Below are 20,360 nucleotides of genomic sequence, written 5' to 3' on the forward strand. Positions count from 1 at the left end.
TGCAAACACTAGTCTCTTGAACACACCAGCAGAACTTTGAGAACCAACTTTAAACGCAGTACTCCTGCCAAGTGTGGTCAGGTACCTTTGGAAGCCACAACCAGAGAAGATGTCAAAAGTCAACATAATCCATACATTTGAAAAGAAACTGGCCGGGTGACGCTTCAGTCATTAATAACATGTGCTGTTTATAGTGCTTTTTTTCTTCCCTCATATTGAATGTCAGGTGCAGGAATTTTCTGCACCTTCTCTTAAAGATAAGACTCAACATTTGACTAGAGAAATGAATGGAAGGAAACAGCATATATTTTAAAAATACACAATTAGTGAAGGGCGTTTGGCTCTTATAGATGGAAAGGGCAAAAACCCTCAGATACTTGCTACTGTTGCGTATCTCCAGCACCTTATCTAGTTCTACGAGAAGGTAAGTATTGAACAAATGTAGGTCATTGCTGCTGAAGAATTACTCTGCTGAACATGGTTCCACAGACCTGGTTCTCAACTTGGTGCCAATTCCTGTGCCCAGGTAGATGATACATTTGCCCACTTGGTGCAAATGTCCAGCTGGATATTATATTTGCACAGCTTCTGGCTCCGAGGGGAGAATATGTATTCAAGAGAATGAGCCTAATGATGTTCTCTGAGGGGAAGGATGAGTAAAACAGAAATTTTTTCTCCTTCTAACTAAACAGAAAAGCAACCAAAGACTATTTCTCAGAAAAGGACACAAACACAAAAGGTTCATCCAATGAACTTTGCCTCTGGGTTTCTGCTCACCTCCATACTCTCCTTACCAGCAATCAACACAGTTCTTCACGTGCAGAAAGATAATCTCTTAGCAGCTAAGTCTCCTGACTGTCGCTACGTGGGAAAGGAAAAGACCATGAAGATTTCTAGATCGCGCCTTTAAAAGACTAAGTAGAGGCAATCCTTTGACCAGCCTATTCTATGTCAGAGAGGAAGCACTTTGGAATATGTGGATGTCTTGACTCAGGCTAGAATGGCTTGTGGGCTTTTGCTTTGAGAATTCTGACTATATATGACTCGCTGTTTCAGAAACAGCATATGACAAGAACATACTAACAAGTTGGAATAATACCATGAGTTAGTGTGACTTCCATTGTTGCTTCATGCTATTGTAATAAAGTAGAGGTTGCAAGAAGAGAAATGCTATTTCACTTAAGCCTTTCTTGTTACTGTCATGACTCACTTTCCTGACTGAAAATCCAAGGGGACTAAGAAGACATCATCTTGGGCTTAACATGAGGTGGATTTGTTTGGAATATGGAAACAAAATAAAGATGGTTGATTTGGCTTTTGGAGGCCAAATGACTTCCTTGGCACTTAAAACATGGTTTCCTTTATAGGCATCCTAATAGTTGGTTTTTGATATGTGATTGTAATTAATCTAAAATGAAGAACCAGTGCATTTCAAAAATAAAACACAGGTGGATAAAAATCTGATATAACAAACACTGAAACCACAAGTGGAGCTGTCTGCTTGGGAGAGTGCCCCACAGAAACTGACGTCAGTGTCTCCTGTCTTCCCATGAAGTGGTCCGAAGCAGATTGTGGAGGTGGAAGAAGAACAATTGCCTGCTCTGGGATACTGTAACCACTCTCAGAAATAACAAATGAATGAGAGTAGTATTCTTGCTTCCATCCACATTCATTCATTTCACAAAATTCCTTAGGCTTCTCCTATCAGCACTGAGAGGTAAGCATTCTGCACAAGGTAGCCATCAACCTGACATAGTCTCTGTGCTCAGGGAGACTGGGGCCCCTGTAGTGTAATAGAAGCAATTAGTAAACAAACAGTGCAATTTCAGGGAGCGAGAAGTCAATGAAGGAAAATTAAAGCAGAGTTAAAGAGTAAAGGGAGCCAGCTACTCGGGAGGCTGAGGCAGGAGAATGGCATGAATCCAGGAGGTGGCGCTTGCAGTGAGCCGAGATCACGCCACTGCACTCCAGCCTGGGCAACAGAGCGAGACTGTCTCAGAAACAAAAAGTAAAGGGAGGCGGGAAAGAAAAGTTTTAGATAGTCAAGAAGGGCCTTTCTGAAGAGGTACAATTTGAGCAGACATCACAAAGGAAGGCACAGGTCATGTGAGGTTCTGATGAGAGTGGCTTTCAGGTTTCAGGAACAGCAAGTGCAGAGTCCCCAAGGCAAGACTAGTGAGTGTTTTCTAGAAACTCCAACAGGCCAGTGTGGCTGGAACAGATTAAACAAGGGAATTGACGATAGGTGAATTTAGCAGAGGCCGTACCATACAGGGTCATGTACACTACAAAATGGAGTTTGAATTTTATTTCAAGTATTAACCAGGGAGAGGTGTGAACATATATTCCATTTACATCTTAAAGGGTAGCTCTTGTGGTGTAGAGCAGTGCCATGTGTGAGCTGGTGGGATGAGGGTAGATGATCACAGGTAGGCAAGACTTGATGTAGAGAGACCAGTTAGAGGCTATTTGCTTAAGATGGGAGGGGACAGTGGCTTGAACTAGGGAGGAGGATTGGAGTTGATTAGGCTTGAAATGTATTTTGAAGATAGAGCCAACAGGACCTACAGATGAATTAGATGTGAGAGTGTTTGGGAAAAGGGAAGAATCTGAGTTGACTCCTAGGCTTTTTAGGTTTTTAACAGTAAGTTGAAGATAACTATATAGACTTAACTCTTGATTTTTCTCCATTATCAAGAAACACATTAGACTGAAAATTATGTTCATAAAAGTAGATAGGTCGGGGAAGCCAGTTTAGCAATGTTGTTTTGTTGTTGTTGTTGCTGTTGTTATTTTATCTTTTTCTTTTCTTCCGGAGCCATTCACAATCACTAGACTGGTAAAAAGAAAGCAACCAATGTCATCTATTTCCTTATAAGTGTACATGTGACTTCCAGGAGCATATCAGGGGAGTGTATTTAAGAAGTTATTAGTGAGAGAAGAAAGTTCATTCCAAAGGCCAATGACCTAACTGATATTTGCCAGAGGATGAAGCGTGGCTTTGGCCATGGATCCTCAATAGTTAAGAAGCTTAAAGACTGGCTGGCCATTCTACCCTGGAATAAACATTGAGAAGTACCAGAAATTTTCCATAGATTTAAAGAAAACAAAATAGGAAGAGGCCACCAACCTTTTCTAATCTAAAACCCAAAGCTTTCATCTCCATTTTCAAAAATAGGATATCAGAATTTTCTGCCTCTGTACTGCTCACAACATTGAGATCAGGAACAACTTTTATTACATTCAACAATTCTTGTGTGTGTGTGTGCGTGCGTGTGTGTGTGTGTGTGTGTGAGTGCATGTGTGTATGCGTGTGCATGCACATGTGTTGGGTAAGGAGTGGATTTTGGACCCCACCTCTCTTAATCTTGAATATCTGTGGAAGTTAACCTTTCTAGAGAGAAACTGGTCCTCTCATGGGATGCTAAATGAGGATAATGGCTTGACTTCTGCATAAAAATGCTGTGGCCCAAAGAGAAAGAATGATGTTCATGATGACATGGCACAAGGTGAGCCCCCAGAGGGGACACTACCAGAGGATGACATGGATGTCAACATGCAGGCTGATAAAAATGGTTATTTGAGGCTTATATTTGTCTTTTAACTATGGCTTTTCTCAACTATTCCAATGATCAAGATTGACAAACTTAATTGCCTGTGTTTATTTGTTACCCTCTAAGTTAGATATGTTTCTGTATGTGTCAGAAACTCTCTTAATTTGCATCAGTGACCACAGAGCAGTGCTCACTAGACAAATTGCAACCATAAGATGACACGCAGTCGTGCAGTGAACTCTTAGTCATATCCAAGTTTTCTCAGATATAATGGAGACAAGTGAGACCAAGTTATTGCTGGATTAGCTCTCTAATTTTCAGATGTTCATCACTTTGTCTTCAAAATGGAAGTAATTTTTTTTTTGACACTCAGCGACTCTTCAAAACCCTGGTAGTTCATGACTACATAAAATACAAGCTTCAAATTGCTTAGGGACAAAACTGTCTTTACAAATGGTATTAAAAAGGAAAATAACATAATCCCTATTGTGCTGCTTCACTAATCCAGGAGGTACAAAACAGTGTCTTTGGCTATTTGAGAACAAGATGAACCATTTTTCAATTCTTTGTCTTTTTTCTTCTATCAGGCAGAGAATACATTCTGAACTCTTTGTGGGTGGATAACAGACTAGGGAGGAATTTGGAATGTGTGCAAGAGTCACTACATCCCCCTTATTGGCCCAACACACAACTTCTTGTCCTCAAGTTAAAGCCCAAACCCCTAAATGTGGCTGATAAGGTTACTCCCTAATTTCTACACTAAGCTCCACCCTTGCCTGGCTCTCTTCCTTCTTAGCTTTTGTATACAACACTTGTTGTACATAGTGTTGTATACAACACTTGTTGTACATAGTCTTCTTGCCTGTAGGCTATCAGTTTTCAGGAAAAAATTTCCTCCTCTAGTCCTTTCTCCCCAATTTTGGGTTATGTGCTCTTTCTGTATGCATCCACAGGCCCCTATATCATCCCTTCATAATACTCTAAACTATGATTGCCTATTGGCTTGGTGTCTTCCGTTAGACTGGATACTCTGAGAGGGCAAGGCTTCTGTTGGTCTTATTTACCACTATAGCCTCAGTGTCCAGCATACTGCCTGGTATATAAACACCAGCGAAAGACAATAAACAAAACAACAGTAAACAAATAAACCTCTAGTGCCGGGGTAGATTTTGATATGCTTAATATTTGATATGATGTATATGACTATTACACATATACTACATTAAAGAGAGTGAGAAAAAATTATCTAGGGTGTGTGTGTGTGTGTGTGTGTGTGTGTAAAAGCTGAGTGGTTTAAGATACCAACATCGCTGATTACTCAGAAAGTCCTGGAGAGGAAAGAACAGCAAAGCAACAGGCTTAGTTTTTAGTTGTTCAGACGCTACATATACAAATAAGTGAGAATGGTGAGTGTCAGGCACTAGTATTCAAGATTTCAAGAAAGCAATGTAGAGAAACCACAAATGGATGGTGGCAAGGTACTCCTAGCAATGTGTTTGTGTGCCTGAATGTATATATTAGAGCAACTATGCATTGTATCAAAGTACGCAGGTTATACAAGATGGGAAGAACTTCCAGAATTACGGCTACTGCCCTTCTGATCAATAAATCAAGGGAATTGTTGCTTTCTGGAAAGACACTGGGACCTGCCAATGACCTCTTGCTTCTTAGGCATTCCCCTCATTGGTCTTTTACCTTTCTCAAACCTTCCTTAGGACCTATCACTGCATTACTCAGTACATGGCAGTATGGAGGTCACCAGGAAACTTAAGGTTCCTGCTCACCAAAAGCTAACAATTCAGTTAGCATGGAGACATCTGGTAAATAGCATATACATGAAACAGATGATAAGATCCAAGGGATTCATCAAGGGAACTTGATTTTGTGAACTGTGAGAGGCAGAGGAGAGGCTTCCTGCATCGAGAACTAAACTGAGCTCCAAAGGCTGGGTAACACTTGGTTAAGGATAGGAAGAAAAAGGAAGTTTTTATATAGAAACAAAGCCTGAATTAAGACACGGAAAAAAGGAAACTAAGTCATAAGTCAGACTGGTTTGGGTAGAGCTAAAGAACTTTACAGAATTGCAAAGCCATTGAGTTGAAAATCGTTGCTGTCTTTGACCCTTTAGCATCCAGGCAAGCAACATTACATTCCCAATGATCAATTAGAAAATGATACCTGTGAGACTACAAAATTAGTCTCAACAAATTTTTCAAATTGTAATCATATCAAGTATATTCTCAGGCTATGATGGAATAAAACAAGAATTCAATACCAGAAAGAACTTTGGAAACCATACAAATACATGGAAATTAACATGCTCCTGGATGACCACTGGGCCAAAGAGAAAATTAAGATGAAAATTAAAAATTTTCTTGAAACAAATGAAAATGAAAATACAACATCCCTATATTAGTCTGTTTTCATGCTGCTGTTAAAGACGTACCTGAGACTGGGCAATTTACAAAAGAAAGAGGTTTAATTGGACTTACAGTTCCATGTGGCTGAGGAAGCCTCACAATCATGGCAGAAGGTAAGGAGGAGCAAGTCCCATCTTACATGGATGGCAGAAGGCAAAGAGAATGAGGAGGACGCAAAAGCAGAACCCCCTGATAAAACCATCAGGTCTCGTGAGACTTATTCACTACCATGAGAACAGTATGAGGGAAACAAACCCCAGTGATTCAGTTATCCCCAACAGGTCCCTCCCACAACACATGGGAATTATGGGAATACAATTCAAGATGAGATTTGGGTGAGGACACAGAGCCAAACCATATAATTCCACCCCTGGCCCATGCCAAATCTCATGTCCTCACATTTCAAAACCAATCATGCCTTCCTAACAGTTCCCCAAAGTCTTAACTCATTTCAGCATTAACTCAAAAGTCCACCGTCCAAAGTCTTGTCTGAGACAAGGCAGGTCTCTTCCACATATGAGCCTGTAAAATCAAAAGCAAGCTACTTATTTCCCAGATACAATGGGGATACAGACACTGGGTAAATATAACCATTCCAAATGGGAGGAATTGGCCAAAACAGAGGGGCTACACGGCACATGCAATTTCAAAATCCAGTTGGGCAGTCAAATCTTTAAGCTCCAAAATGATCTCCTTTGACTCCATGTCTCATACCCAGGTCACACTGATGCAAGAGGTGGGTTCCCATGGTCTTGGGCAGCTCCACTCCTGTGGCTTTGCAGGGTACAGCCTGCCTCCTGGTTGCTTTCATGGGCTGGCATTGAGCATGGGCTGGCATTGGCTTTTGCAGGCGCACAGTGCAAGCTATTGGTGGATCTACCATTCTGGGGTCTGGAGGACAGTGACCCTCTTCTCACAGCTCCACTAGACAGTGTCCCAGTAGAGACTCTGTGTGGGCTCTCCAACCCCACATTTCCCTTTTGCATTGCTCTAGTAGAGGTTCTTCATGAGAGCTGTGCCCCTGCAGCAAACTTCTGCCTGGGTATCCAGGCATTTCCACACATCTTCTGAAATCTAGACAGACGTTCCCAAACCTCAGTTCTTGACTTCTGTGTACCCGCAGGCTCAACACCACATGGAAGCTGCCAAGGCTTAGGGCTTGCACCATCTGAAGCCATGGCCAGAGCTTCAGGCCCCTTTCAGCCATTGCTTGAGTGGCTGGGACGCAGGGCACCAAGTCCCTAGGCTGCACACAGCACAGGGACCCTGGGCCAGGCCCTGGAGACCACTTTTTCCTCCTAGGCCTTGGGGCCTGTGACTGGAGGGACTGCTGTGAAGACCTCTGAGATGCACTGGAGACATTTTCCCCATTGTCTTGGGAATTAACATTTGGCTCCTCGTTACTTATGCAAATTTATGCAGCCAGCTTGAATTTCTCCCCAGAAAATGAGATTTTCTCTTCTAATGCATTGCCAGGCTGCAAATTTTTCAAACTTCTATGCTCTGTTTCCTTTTTAAAACTGAATGCTTTTAACAGCACCCAAGTCACTTCCTGAATGCTTTGCTGCTCTGAAATTTCTTCTGCTAGATACCCTAAATCAGCTCTCTCAAGTTCAAAGTTCCACAAATCTCCAGGGCAGAGGCAAAATGCCACCACTACCTTTGCTAAAACGTAACAAGAGTCACCTTTGCTCCAGTTCCCAACAAGTTCCTCATTTCCATCTGAGACCACCTCAGCCTTGACTTTATTGTCCGTATCTCTATCAGCATTTTGGGCAAAGCCATTCAACAAGTCTCTAGGAAATTCCAAATGTTTCCACATTTTCCTATCTTCTTCTGAGCTCTCCAAACTGTTCCAACCCCTGTCTGTTACCCAGTCCCAAAGTTGCTTCCACATTTTCAGGTATCTACTGTAGCACCCCACTCTACTGGTAGCAATTTACTTTATTAGTCTGTTTTCATGCTACTGTTAAAGACATACCCAAGACTGGGCAATTTACAAAAGAAAGAGGTTTAATTGGACTTACATGTGGTTGGGGAAGCCTTACAATCATGGCAGATTGTAAGGAGGAGCAACTCCCATTTTACATGGATGGCAGCAGGCAAAGAGAATGAGGAAGACACAAAGGTGAAAACCCCTGATAAAAACCCTCAGATCTCATGAGACTTATGCACTACCAAGACAACAGTATGGGGGAAACCATCCCGATGATTCAATTATCTCCCAACAGATCCCTCCCACAACACGTAGGAATTATGGGAATACAATTCAAGATGAGATTTGGGTGCGGACACACAGCCAAACTATATCAGTCCCCACACCTGTGGAATACAGCAAAAGCAGTGCTAAAAGGGAAGTTTGTAGCAATAAATGCTTATATCAAAAAAGTAGAAAGATTACAAATAAACAATCTAAAAACATACCTCAAAGAACTAGAAAAGGAGGAACAAACCAAACCCCAGATTTGCAGGAAAAATAAAGATATGAGCAGAATAAAATGAAATAGAAACTAAAAAATATACAAAGAAGCAACCAAACAAAAAGCTGGTTATTGGAACATATAAATGAAATTGATAGACAATCTACCAAGACTGAATAAGGAAGAAATAAAAAACCTGAACAGACCAATAATGCATAATGAGATGGAATCAGTATTAAAAAGTCTTCCCAAAGGAAAAGCCCAGGACCAGATAGATTCACAGCAAAATTCTACCAAATGTACAGAAAACTAATTCCAATCCTCTGGAAACTATTCCAAAAAATTGAAGAGGGAATTCTCCCACAGTCATTCCATGAGGCCAGCATCACCCTGATACCCAAACCAGACAAAGTCACAACAACAATAACAAACAACAAAAATAAAACTGCAGGCCAATATCCCTGATAAACAGAGACAAAAAATCCTCAATAAAATACCAGCAAACCAAACCCAACAGGACAAGTGCGATTTATACGAGGGAAGCAAGGATGATTCAACATATGCAAATCAATAAATGGGATATATAACATCAAGAGAATGGGCGCAAAAAACCATATGATCATCAGTTAAATAGAAGGAATAAATTCAATGTCTGGTAACAGAATAAGGTGACTATAGTTAAATAAAAAACATATTGTGCTTGGTTGTGGGACATCCTAAATACCTTAACTTGATCACTATGCATTCTATACATGTAACAAAATTTCACATCATATGCCCCATAAATTTGCACAAAAATAAAATAAAGATAAAAAATAAAGAAAATAAAGTCAAAGAAAAAGTCAAAGTTACTTATGCAAATTACTGAAAGGCCTAGAAAGATCATACATGTATAAAAGTACCTAGAATTCTAGCAATGCTATATCTGAAATAATACATTATGGGTGAAAAGAGGAAGCCTTCCCAATACTCCATAGAGACTAAAAAAAACTGGCATTCCTTATTTGGTAAAGGTGATTTGACTACTGCTCAAAAATAATTGTTCCTCATATTTTCTGCTGCTGATTCATACACTAGATTGAATACTCTCCAAAGAGACCACACATCCCTTCTTTCTGTGATATTATGAAATATATATTTGGTCTTCCTCCCCATTCCTGGCATACAACTTCTGAAATCCTTGGAATCTTCAAAGTGATAGTGTCTTTTTGTATGCTAATTAGTTGACTGATGGCTGGCAGCCTCTGGCTGCCTGAAAGAATGAGACTGAGACTGGCAACTGGAGAGACCAAGGCAGGATTAGAGGGGTCAACTTTCAGCCTCAACCCCCAAACTCTGAGGGAAGAGGGGCCAAAGAGTAAACTGATTACCGATGGCCAATGATGTAATCAATCACGCCTATGTAATGAAGTCTCCATAAAAATCCAAAAGGACTGGGTTCAGAGAGCTTCTGGATAGCTGAACACATGGAGGTTCCTGGAGGGCGGTAGGCCTGGAGAGGGCATGGAGGTTCTGTGTCCCTTCCCGTATGCCTTGACCTATACATCTTTTCATTGGTATCCTTTATAATGTCCTTTATAATAAACTAGTAAATGTGTTTCCCTGAGTTCTGTGAACTGCTCCAGCAAATTAATAGAACCGGAGGAGGGGGCTGTGGAAATCCTGATTTGTAGTCAGTTTGTCAGATGTACAGGCAAAATCACCCAGGTCTTGCAACTGGCATCAGAAGTGGGGGGCAGTCCTGTGGAACTGTGTCCTCAACCTGTGGAATCTGACACTCTCTCCAAGTAGAGAGTGTCAGGATAGGTTGCAATTAGAGGACACCCAGCTGGTGTCTACTGCACAATTGACTGCATGCTTAGTGGGCTGGGGGAAAACCCCCACACAGTTGGTCACAGAAACGTTTTGTGTTGATTATTGTTGAGTGAGAGAACAGAAAAAACACTTTGTTTTTTTTCCTTATATTTACACTTTCTTTTCAGTCTTTTCTGGCTCAGCCATGGGCTCATAGGAAGCCCTTCATAAGCCTCTCCACTGTGGTCAATCCACAGGCCTCCTTCAGCTCTATTACCTGAACGACAAAGCGCACTGTTTGTGGCCTTCTTCAGAATGAAGAGAGGCAGCTGACATTCTCTTGTAAAAGATGAGCAAACACAAACTCAGAGGATTTATTCTTGGAATTGTAAAATTTCTGCATTTCAAAAAGAGACTCCCATCAATATTTTTGTTTTCTCTGGTCTAACAGACATACTATGAAACTCATTGAATTAACATTTCCAAAGACGCTGAGTTCCTCTCATGGGAAGCCACTGTCATAAAGTACCACTGGCTCATTCAACATGCCATAGTAAAACACCACTTCCCGTAATAAGTTAGATCAACATTAGGTGATGTAGTGTGCTGCTTAAATCACTGAAATAATGTGTCATTCAGATAATATTTCAAAATAAAAATGGAACCTTGTTAGATTGAGAGAACTTGCATTTATTTTATTTTATGATGGTAAGGATCAAAGAACTTGACGCTAACTGGGTAGATGTGGTGGACCTTTCCTGACTTCTGACAGTGACTCAGCCCATTTTTTTTAGCATGTGAAAGCTAAGTAAATGATGAATCAATGCCCGCAAGCAGGAAAAGATGCCAGTTTCCCACTAAAAATCGCAGAGTGTGATAAACCTATTTCCGTTAAGAAAACTGCCGGAGTTTTTACTGGGGGATTTCCCAGGCAAACAGAGGCAAAGATATACAAACCAAAAGCGGAAGGTAAGCACATTTCCTCTTAGTGTTTTTATGCTGGACACTAACGCAAACCTGGTGAATAAGTCAGGGCTGTTTCAAGTCATCTTCCTTTCCAAACCTGATTGGAAGAGAGAACCTGCCATACTCACACTTGCCCACTCCAGCTGGGAAGGCAAGGGATGGGGCACACGTCCAGTAGGGGAGAATATAGCAGCAAGGCAAAACCACAAAGTGCAAATGTCCATTTCATTCTCCCATCATATAAAGTACCTCCTTCCTCTCCATTTCCCCTTCCATGATTATTTACATTATCAACCCCTATGATCATTTAACAACATCCTCTGACTTCCAAACTGAATCACTCAGCTATGCCAAAGCTGCCTGTCTTTATTTTAGTATCCACAGCTATGAAAGGCCTGTTTCATGCCATGTAACTTACTAGGCACTTTATCTACTTAGTTTATTTAATCCTAATTCCCCATAAGGTGCAATCTAAATCTCAAAAAAGCTAAGAAACACCACATCATCTATGTGGTATTCCCACCAAAAATATTTACAATGAATCTGTTTAGGATAAAACAATTACACAAATCCAAACCATGGAACCCTGGAACACTGTGTAAAATAAATGTCCCGAGTTCTTCAAAACTGTCAATGTTCTGAAAGACAATAATAATAACAATAAAAAGCTGGAGAACTTCATTAGAGTCAAGAAGATGAAAAAGAAATAAAAATTAAATGCACTGTGAGATCCCTATTAGATCCCTGAATCACAAAAAGGAAAACAAACAAAAATCTCCAGCTATAGAAAACATTATTCACAAAATTTGGGAAATCTGAATAGCAAGTAACCATTAGAGAATAGTATTATATCAATGTTAAATTTCCTGAGTATGATTATTATATTGGGTTTATGTAGGAGAATGTCCTTCTTAGGAGATCCCTACTGAAGTAATTAGCAGTAAAGCTCAGTGATATCTGCAACCATCTGTCAAATGGTTCTGCAACAATAGGCAGGAAAACAAAGAATCACCAAAGTCAGAGAGAGAGAGAGAGAGAGAGAAAGAGAGAGAGAAAGAAAGAGAAGGAAGGGAGGGAGGGGAGGGAGGGGAAGGAAAGAAAGGCAAAATATTGACAATGGGTGAATATGAGTGCCAGGTACATGCATGGGTATTCATTGTACTATTCTTGCCATTCTTTATATGTTACAAACTTTCAAGAGGAGGAATAAAAAATACAAAATGTTAAAAAAAGACAAACACACAAACCTCAAGCAGCAGGAGCAGCTAAGGAACTTGCCCACAGCCAAACAGTTAGCAACCGTCAGAACTGAGATGCAAATTTCAGGCATTTGGGGTGTGATATTGTTGTCTTTGACTCTGATAATAATTAAAATCTTTTTCTACATGTATTCTTTTAAAGGCTGCGTACAAAAAGGAGACTCAATGATCGTTTTTGTCTTATATTCTTGTTAAGAGTTGTTATGACTATAGATAAGGAGGTGCAGTGAAGGGAGGTTCCGATTGATCATTCCTGAGCTTCACGACATTGTGGATGGAGTAAGATTCTCAGCCAGGCAGAATGAAATGTGATGATGAAAAGTCCGTGGCTAATATCATTTAGAACCAAACAGAAAACTATATAAAATGCATTTTTTTAAAAAAATCTTAATTTATAGGAATATATCAGACAAGTGGAAGAAAAGATTTTCTGTCTGCAACGTCTGTGAACTTAATGGATGGTTATCATTTGCGCTGCTTTGCTGACAGATCTTGTGGGAGGAGGCTAATGATTTGTTTACACTTTACCTTGTGCATAGAACTGTTTTTAAAAAGTCCAGCATCTTCTGATTCATATTGCTAATTGCCAATCAGACATATCCACATGGATCTTTTATAATCACCTAAAGTTCAAACTCCTAAAGTCAGTTTATTATTCTGTCTTCTTCCCCTTCTCCTCCACTCAACATTGTTTTTTCCTCCACACTACCACACTCTTTTTGTATTTTTCAGTTTCTATTAATGACACAATCTTGGTATCTAGGGGTAAAACTTATAAATGAATTTTGGTCCCTCCTCTTTGCTCCACATATATATTAATGATTAGTAATTCTGCCTCCTAAATAATTGCTCTTGAATAAATTCTCCATCCTCACTGCTTTGCCTTGCTTCAAGTAACCATATTGCTCACAAGGCCTCCTGCAATATTCTTCTCCTTGTTTTTCCCGTCTCTCCTTCCAGGTTCAGTTACTCAACTATCTTGCCACCTGAATTCTTTTGCTGTAATGTCAATCTGATTGTGTTTCTCTCTTAACAAAGAGCCTATAATGGTTCTTCACTCCTAGCAGGATAAGGGGCAAATTCCTTAGCATCAAATACACAATTCCCACATAAGCCAACCTAATATTATCTGACTTCATCAGCCATGTATGCCTGGATGCTGTCATCCCAAGCTACTGAGACCGTCCCTGACGGTGTCCTTTCTGTTCCTCACATCTTGGATATGTTCTTCTTGCTGCCTGGGATGCTGTGCCCCCACTGAGGCATCCAGAAGAGCCTTAGTCTTCCTTCAATGCCTACATCACTGTGTCTTTCTTTCCCTCACCCCCGAGACAGATTTAGAGACATCCTCTTTAGGCTCCTGTGGGATCTCTATTACATCATTTAACCAAACAGCCTTATTATACTTCATTTGAATGCCTGTCCTCACCATTCAAACCTGTAAGGGCAGGAGCATATTTTAATAACTTTTTGGACTCCAGCATCCAACACAGTGTCTGACACATAGAAGGTATTCAACGGACATTCATTAAACAAAATAATATTGATAAAGGAAGAAAGTCATAAACAGTAAAATATATATGGTTTATCAGAATTAAAACCACATATTACCAAACTCATAGGTCAGGCCAACAATGATGGAACCTGATTTCACCAGTAATCTCTAAGTTACAAAACTTTTATTCCTGCTGCCTATTCAACCCATTATTTTGTTCAACAATTGCCAGAACTTCTTTCTCCTCTGGATGTCTGGGAGTAACCAGGTAGGTCAACTCAAGCCAGATGACAAGTGGAGAGAGGTGACAAGAGGTGTGTTGGACAGCTCGGAGAGGACTGAAGCATCCAACCTCCTTCCAAAGCTACCTGTACTGATGCAGCCATACACTTGCCCTTGGGCAAGAGAAGTTCATTACAGCCTGCTCCACAAAAAGGGGAAGGAGATGGAGAAGCAAGAGATGCAGACTCTTATTTTGGTTTGTGGTACACAGAAGCACACGAGATTGGGAAACAGAAGTATGAAGGGCCTCGAAAGGCCTCTGGGGCCAATAAAGAATTCAGGAGTAAAAATATCATGAAGATCATGGTTGTTTAAAAAATTTCTCCCAGAAGTCCTTTGTGAGACAGATATTAATATAAAGTATTCAATGAGCAGCCTACATAAAATCCTGTGCCTTAACAATACTGATTTATGTGGCGAGGGCACCATCTGACATCGGGAAGTGCTTCGACCTGCATATACATTACCTTAAAATTGGGTCTCTGAAACAGACCGATGAAAGGTAGAAAGACAGGGAAATTCTGGTGTGTTTCCAGCATCTGAAACTTTGGCTGGCTATTGCCAGTATCATTTCATTTGTTTTCCCGTGGAAAAATGAAACAGATAATGAGATATTTGGTCCACGTGCTTTGTGTATGTACTTTTAAAATGTCACCTTTGGGTAACTCAACCCACCAACGGATTATTAATAAAATTCAGCAACTGTCAAGGCACTTGTCTGTGAAGGGAGGTTTGGCGGCGACACCTATTAGGAGAGAGAGACAGATGGCCTTACCTCTCAGCTCCTGCGTCCACAGCTGTGAGTGGAGGTAACTGGGAGGAGGGGTTGTGAGGGCTCCCCTGTACATTATGTCCTGGAGAAGGGTGACTGACAGGATGTGGGGGTGGTACGGCCCCAGCAGCTGTTCCACTTCGGCTTGAATAATTGCTGGAGAAAATGGGAGCTGAAATCAAGGGAGAACAAACATGAGACCGTGCCCCAAAGGAAGCCCACGTTTTTTAAATACCGAAGCCTGACAGCAAGCATATTTGAGGGGCTTGCTTGTTTTTCTCTCAGTGGTTTTCAGGGAACAGTTCTCCCCTTCTTGGGTACACACAGCTTTTATTTTCATGGTGGAACAGGTTCCTCCGGAGCTCACGTCTGGCTCGCTTCAGGCTGATGTTCACGGTCTGTCTCCTAAGTGCTGCCATGCCCTGCCAGTTCCCTGTCTGGACACTGTATAATTAGTCAGTCTTGTACTGTTTGCATCTGTGCCAAGGTCTCTGTATTAGCACTTTTCAGTCACAGGGGATGAGAGTCAGGTAACAGAATATTTGGTCAGCTGACTGAGAAGGGCACAGCACAGGCCTTCTTCCTCTTCTCACTGCTGCAGTGAGCCACGGTAGGTCAGCTGGGGCCCCTCTCTGTCACTGCTAAATCAATGTAATGAGAACTGGAGCTTCCCTGATCCTAGCATGAACGTAGGATCCTGCACCCTTTTAACTTTAGAGTCTAACTAACCCAGGGAATTTTCCTGATGGTGTGATGAATATACTTGGCCTTCATCAAAGGAGTCTCTCAAACTACGAAAACACAGCTTCGGGATCTCCCCCCACTGTTGCCCGTTATGACACAGAGAGTGAGTTACAGTCCCATTCGTATGGGCAGCCTAGCCTTCGAGAACGGTATGTGACCTCAAACGTGAATACGTGCCCATTTAGATCAGCTAATTGGTACGATGTCACAGAAGAAACTGGGGCTTGTCACTTTCACAGTCTATCAGAAAGGTTCCCTCAGTGTCTGGGACCTACTCCGTAGACATCTCATTATGCTGCAATCATAGCAGCAGCATTAGGCTGATTCTCTTTAACTTCCTTCTTTGTACAAAGTTATGCTGAGCTCCATACCCATTTCTGTTCTTTTTGAACTTACTCTACTAATATCAAAGAATAAATGGATTTTTTAAAAAAATAAATCAGGTTCAGGATTAAGAAAGAGAAGCCACATTATCGAAAAGATTTGAGGGTTTAAAAGTTCAGGGAGTTGTATTTTTATACCAGTACCACTTTTCCCCAACCTCTCCAGGATAGAATAAGTACCCCAGATGACCTAGCCCCCAAAAGCTTAATCCAATGGAACAAGAGTTCAAGTATTTCAAGGAACATGTGAAGAGGCAGAATTACCATCTTCCCGCTCAAAAAGCTACTGACAAGGGTGTGATCTGATTTGAAGGGTTTATTTCTGGTAAATCAGCATTCTGTCAGGTTAACTCTTGTCCTCAGAAGCCTGTACCTACCACAGTCCTCCAAAGAGGTGGTGAGGCCTGAAAATGCTTACCAGTTCAGAAAGGCAAGGCTGAGCTTCTGTTGTGTGCGTCAGCTTCCATACAAGTTGCATATTTGCAAACTCACTAGAGTCACCTTATGAATCACTAACCTCATTTATGCTCAGCTAGCTCAGGGAACCACAATTCTGCTTGTATTCCAAATAATAATTTTACTCAGGGGAGAAGGCTGTTTGGATTGACTGTGGCAATAGTTTCAAAACTGGTGTTTGTCAGCATGGAGCTTGGTGTTTTATATACTATTCCAAAATCTAATGGAATAATAAAGGTCATAGAGATACTATGAAAACACAGCTAACTTTTTTTTTTCCTGCTTCAGTGTAGAAATGTGAGTTCTCCTATTTATTTTGTTGTAGTTGCTGAATGCACCCAGTATTTATTTTTCCCCAGAGGTTTTTTTGTATGTATGTGCATGTGTTCATCACAAGGGAAGCATTGCCCCTGCTGTTTACAACCCAATGGGCAACAAGGAAACTTGGTGTGCACACTCTGTGCTCTACTCTATGGTCCAACAGAAAGTGTGCTGCTTCTCAGAGGTCTGTATTAGCTATACTTGGCATTAGCTACAATGACATAGGCTGGGAAATTGGGGATTGTTTGTAGCCTGCCACTCGCTCAGAGTTAAGCCTGGTTTAGGACCTCTCTTTCATCCCATTTAACAGCCAGGAAAAACCATCCATCATCCACCTGCCCCATCATCCATCTGTTCACCCATCTATCATTCAGCCGTTATTTTTATATTCCATATTGATAAGTGTCTATTACGTACTTGATACTCTATGTGTGTTCCTGCCCTTGGGGAAACTGTAATTTAATGAAGGGAGCAGACCTCTATATATCGATTTTACCAAAATACCAAGACCTATTAGTATAAATCATTGGACAGTGTTAAAAGCACTTTAATGCACTCATTTGTGGCCCCACAATGCATCCTAAGCTCTGGCCAAACCAGACAACTGACCACACTCAAATGTATTATGACAATTTATACTACTGAGCTTTTTTCTGTGATGTCCTCTACCTTTTTCTACTTACTTCATTACATTTGCTCTATATGCAGAGTTAACTGTGTTCTTTTTATTCTTCTCTTAGCGGGCAATTATTCCACAAATATGTATAGGGTACCTATCATTTGGCAGACATGAAGCTAGGTCCTGGGACAGGAAACAAGACATCCTCGGTGCCTGGTATCTCCAAACAGCATCAGTTCATGTTCATTGAGTAAACAAAGATGAACAAGATATAAATGCCCATGGAATCTCGGGGCTCAGTGACTAGGACAGGGACAGAAAGGAACATTTATCCACCAACTCCTATTTTTCATTTGTTGACGGTTGCGCCATTGGTCAAGATTAATTTGCTCACACTTTGAGGGGCACGTGTACCAGAGTGGCTAAATGTTCTCACAGATACCCAACATCAGGGTATCAGAGAAGCCTCAGGGAAGAAAGCCAGAGGGACATGGTGCAGTTGAGGAGAGGTGCTACCATGCTACGGCTGGTGCATTAGCTGGCTGCATTAGCAAAGGCCACTAGAAACAGGTGGTGAAGGGGATGCTAGGTGGGGCACACGAGGTGTCAGGTATAGGGCTGAGGGCTCCAGAATATGCCCTCCAGCTGTGCTGGTTTGACTGACTGCCAGTCAAGCCCACGTCAACTGGTGTTGACTGACCACCAGTCAAGCCCACATCCATAGCCCTTCCCTTGAATGCTATGGCTGGTGAAGGGGACAGAAATGGGCAGTGGTCCTCTTTTACGGCCCCATGAGAACAAGAAAGGGAGGGCTTTAGGGTTCAATTTAAAAACTGGATTTGGAAAATGTACTTCTTATCTAGGGTGGAGGAAATCACTTCTCTGGAAAACAAGGTCTATGACTTGCCTTTACTTTCTATAGTATAGGAAAATCTTACTTCTGGTGAGAAGGTGAGATTACAACCTAGTAGAAGCCTGTAAGTCAGTGTCTACATGACAGCACTTTGCATGCCAAGTCCAGGCCATGACTGCTCATTGTAGACGTTGCTTGTGACCAAGATGATGACCAGAAATTTGGAGGAAGTAACAACAGACACAAGCATGCTTTCCAACATTTATCCAATCCCCATCTCACATACCCTTCAAAAAAAATGGACAACACTCTGGAGTCAGAGAGCTGTGGCTTCAACAGAATTGTCCTTGGTCTCTGCCAATGATCCACTGTGGCATAGGAAATGCTCTTTTACTTATCCTGATTTCTAGGAATTTCTGACCATATCACAGTCATGCATCCAGAATTCAATCTTTATTAATTACTACAGTCTAGGAATATTCTTTTATGCATTCATTCTTCCAAACACAATTTTCCAGCACCTACTCTGCACCAGGCAGGTGCTAATCTCCATTAATGTTTTAAGTCTGAATATCTGCCGACTTCATACAGACTTTCCCACCACAACATATGGTTCCAGACAAATGTTCAGGTTTTGCCAAGTGATTTTTAACCTCAGGAAGAAAATCTCCACCTTAGAGTAAAACTGTAATGTCATTCGCAAAAGGAAAAACTTCCTTTCATACACATTCAAAATAATTTTCCAAACTCAACGAATAGGGCACACAATTGTGGCCTATCGATCAAAACATAAGGAAGAGAGCTGATCCCTCCAGGATACAGGGCAATATTAACAAAACTGTTGTCATCAAATCAGCCGACACACACAGGCTGCCCACAGGAGCAGCCTTCATTGTCTGTGTCAACTCCGGGGTCATTACTGCTTTCAAGGCTGCAAGAGGGCTTCTAAGTGAACTTCCAGACATACCTGATGACTGGCAGCTGGAACAACTGATTAAGCACAGCAGAGGAACATATTGGAAATTCTTATTGCTTTTGTGATTAAGAGATGGTAGTCTCCCTGAGGAAATAAAATCCTGTTCTTGAGATGAATACGTGAGCCTTGTCTTCAGCAGAGGCCAGCTACTGGCCTCCCTGCTGCCATGGGCTTTCTCTTTCTTAGTGGCCTGGCTCACTGCAGTCTCTCATCCATCTACAGTAGAGGTAGGTGGAGGTAACTCAGTTGAGCTTTATAATTTTAACAAAGCAGCATCTGTTGATCTATGTGGTTCTCAGATGCCATCTCATAGGCTACCAGAGCATTCTAGGCTGGCACCTTTAGCTCAGGTTAATTTGGTTAGTATGCAGTTCTCTTTGTCCAAATGAAAACCATTAATCTATATTTCTAATGGGTATAAACAGGGCACCCTTGGGGTTACTTCAGCTGTAACATATTTATTGTGTGGATGGAGGGAGGCCAAGAGTGTTAGTAGCATCCCCAAATAAAGATTACTTGTCTCAGGCCATCACCAGAGCGGAGGAAGGCTACTATAGGCATTGCTTGGTAACTGTGTTTTCATCACTTCAGAGGGAAAGGATGAAGACCTCCCTTGTCAGGCTAAGGTATATTAAAAACAGCCAATATGCATTCTTGTTTAAAACTATGTGAGCAGCAAGAGTCCTGCTTCTCAAGCTTTAATGTGCAAATAAATCATCAAGGTAAAATACAGATTCTGACTCACTAGGTCTTGGGGGTGCTGAGGCTGCTGGTATGGAAACTACACTTTGAGTAGTAGGTGCTGGGGATCCTGTCTCAGCTTCATTTCATCTTCTTGCTGCCCCTTGATACCTTGGAATCAATAGTTAAGACTTATTGAGCATTTATAATGTGCAAAGTTCTTTATAAACATTTCCCCAGTTTGCTGATGAGGAACTTGAGGCCTCTTCTGGTTCCTGGTTAAGTTACCTGGCTTAGGTCACGTGGCAGGCAAATAGCGGGGCTGGAATTCAAATCCGGGAAGCCTGATTTTATTAATAGATCAC

At 41.4% G+C, this 20,360-nt stretch overlaps 1 protein-coding gene across 12 annotated transcripts in view; it reads right to left on the reverse strand.

Annotated features, from left to right (window-relative positions):
- GLIS3 (GLIS family zinc finger 3) overlaps nucleotides 1-20,360 on the reverse strand; it is a 666,339-nt gene that overhangs the window by 40,335 nt on the left and 605,644 nt on the right. For all 12 annotated transcript variants that reach the window (XM_047422890.1, XM_011517763.3, NM_001438912.1 and 9 more), the window contains one exon: nucleotides 14,966-15,134. In XM_047422890.1, the coding sequence (XP_047278846.1) occupies nucleotides 14,966-15,134 (169 nt within the window). The remainder of the gene's footprint in view (nucleotides 1-14,965; nucleotides 15,135-20,360) is intronic.

This window comes from Homo sapiens, chromosome 9, assembly GCF_000001405.40.
Source record: "Homo sapiens chromosome 9, GRCh38.p14 Primary Assembly".
Taxonomy (NCBI): domain Eukaryota; kingdom Metazoa; phylum Chordata; class Mammalia; order Primates; family Hominidae; genus Homo; species Homo sapiens.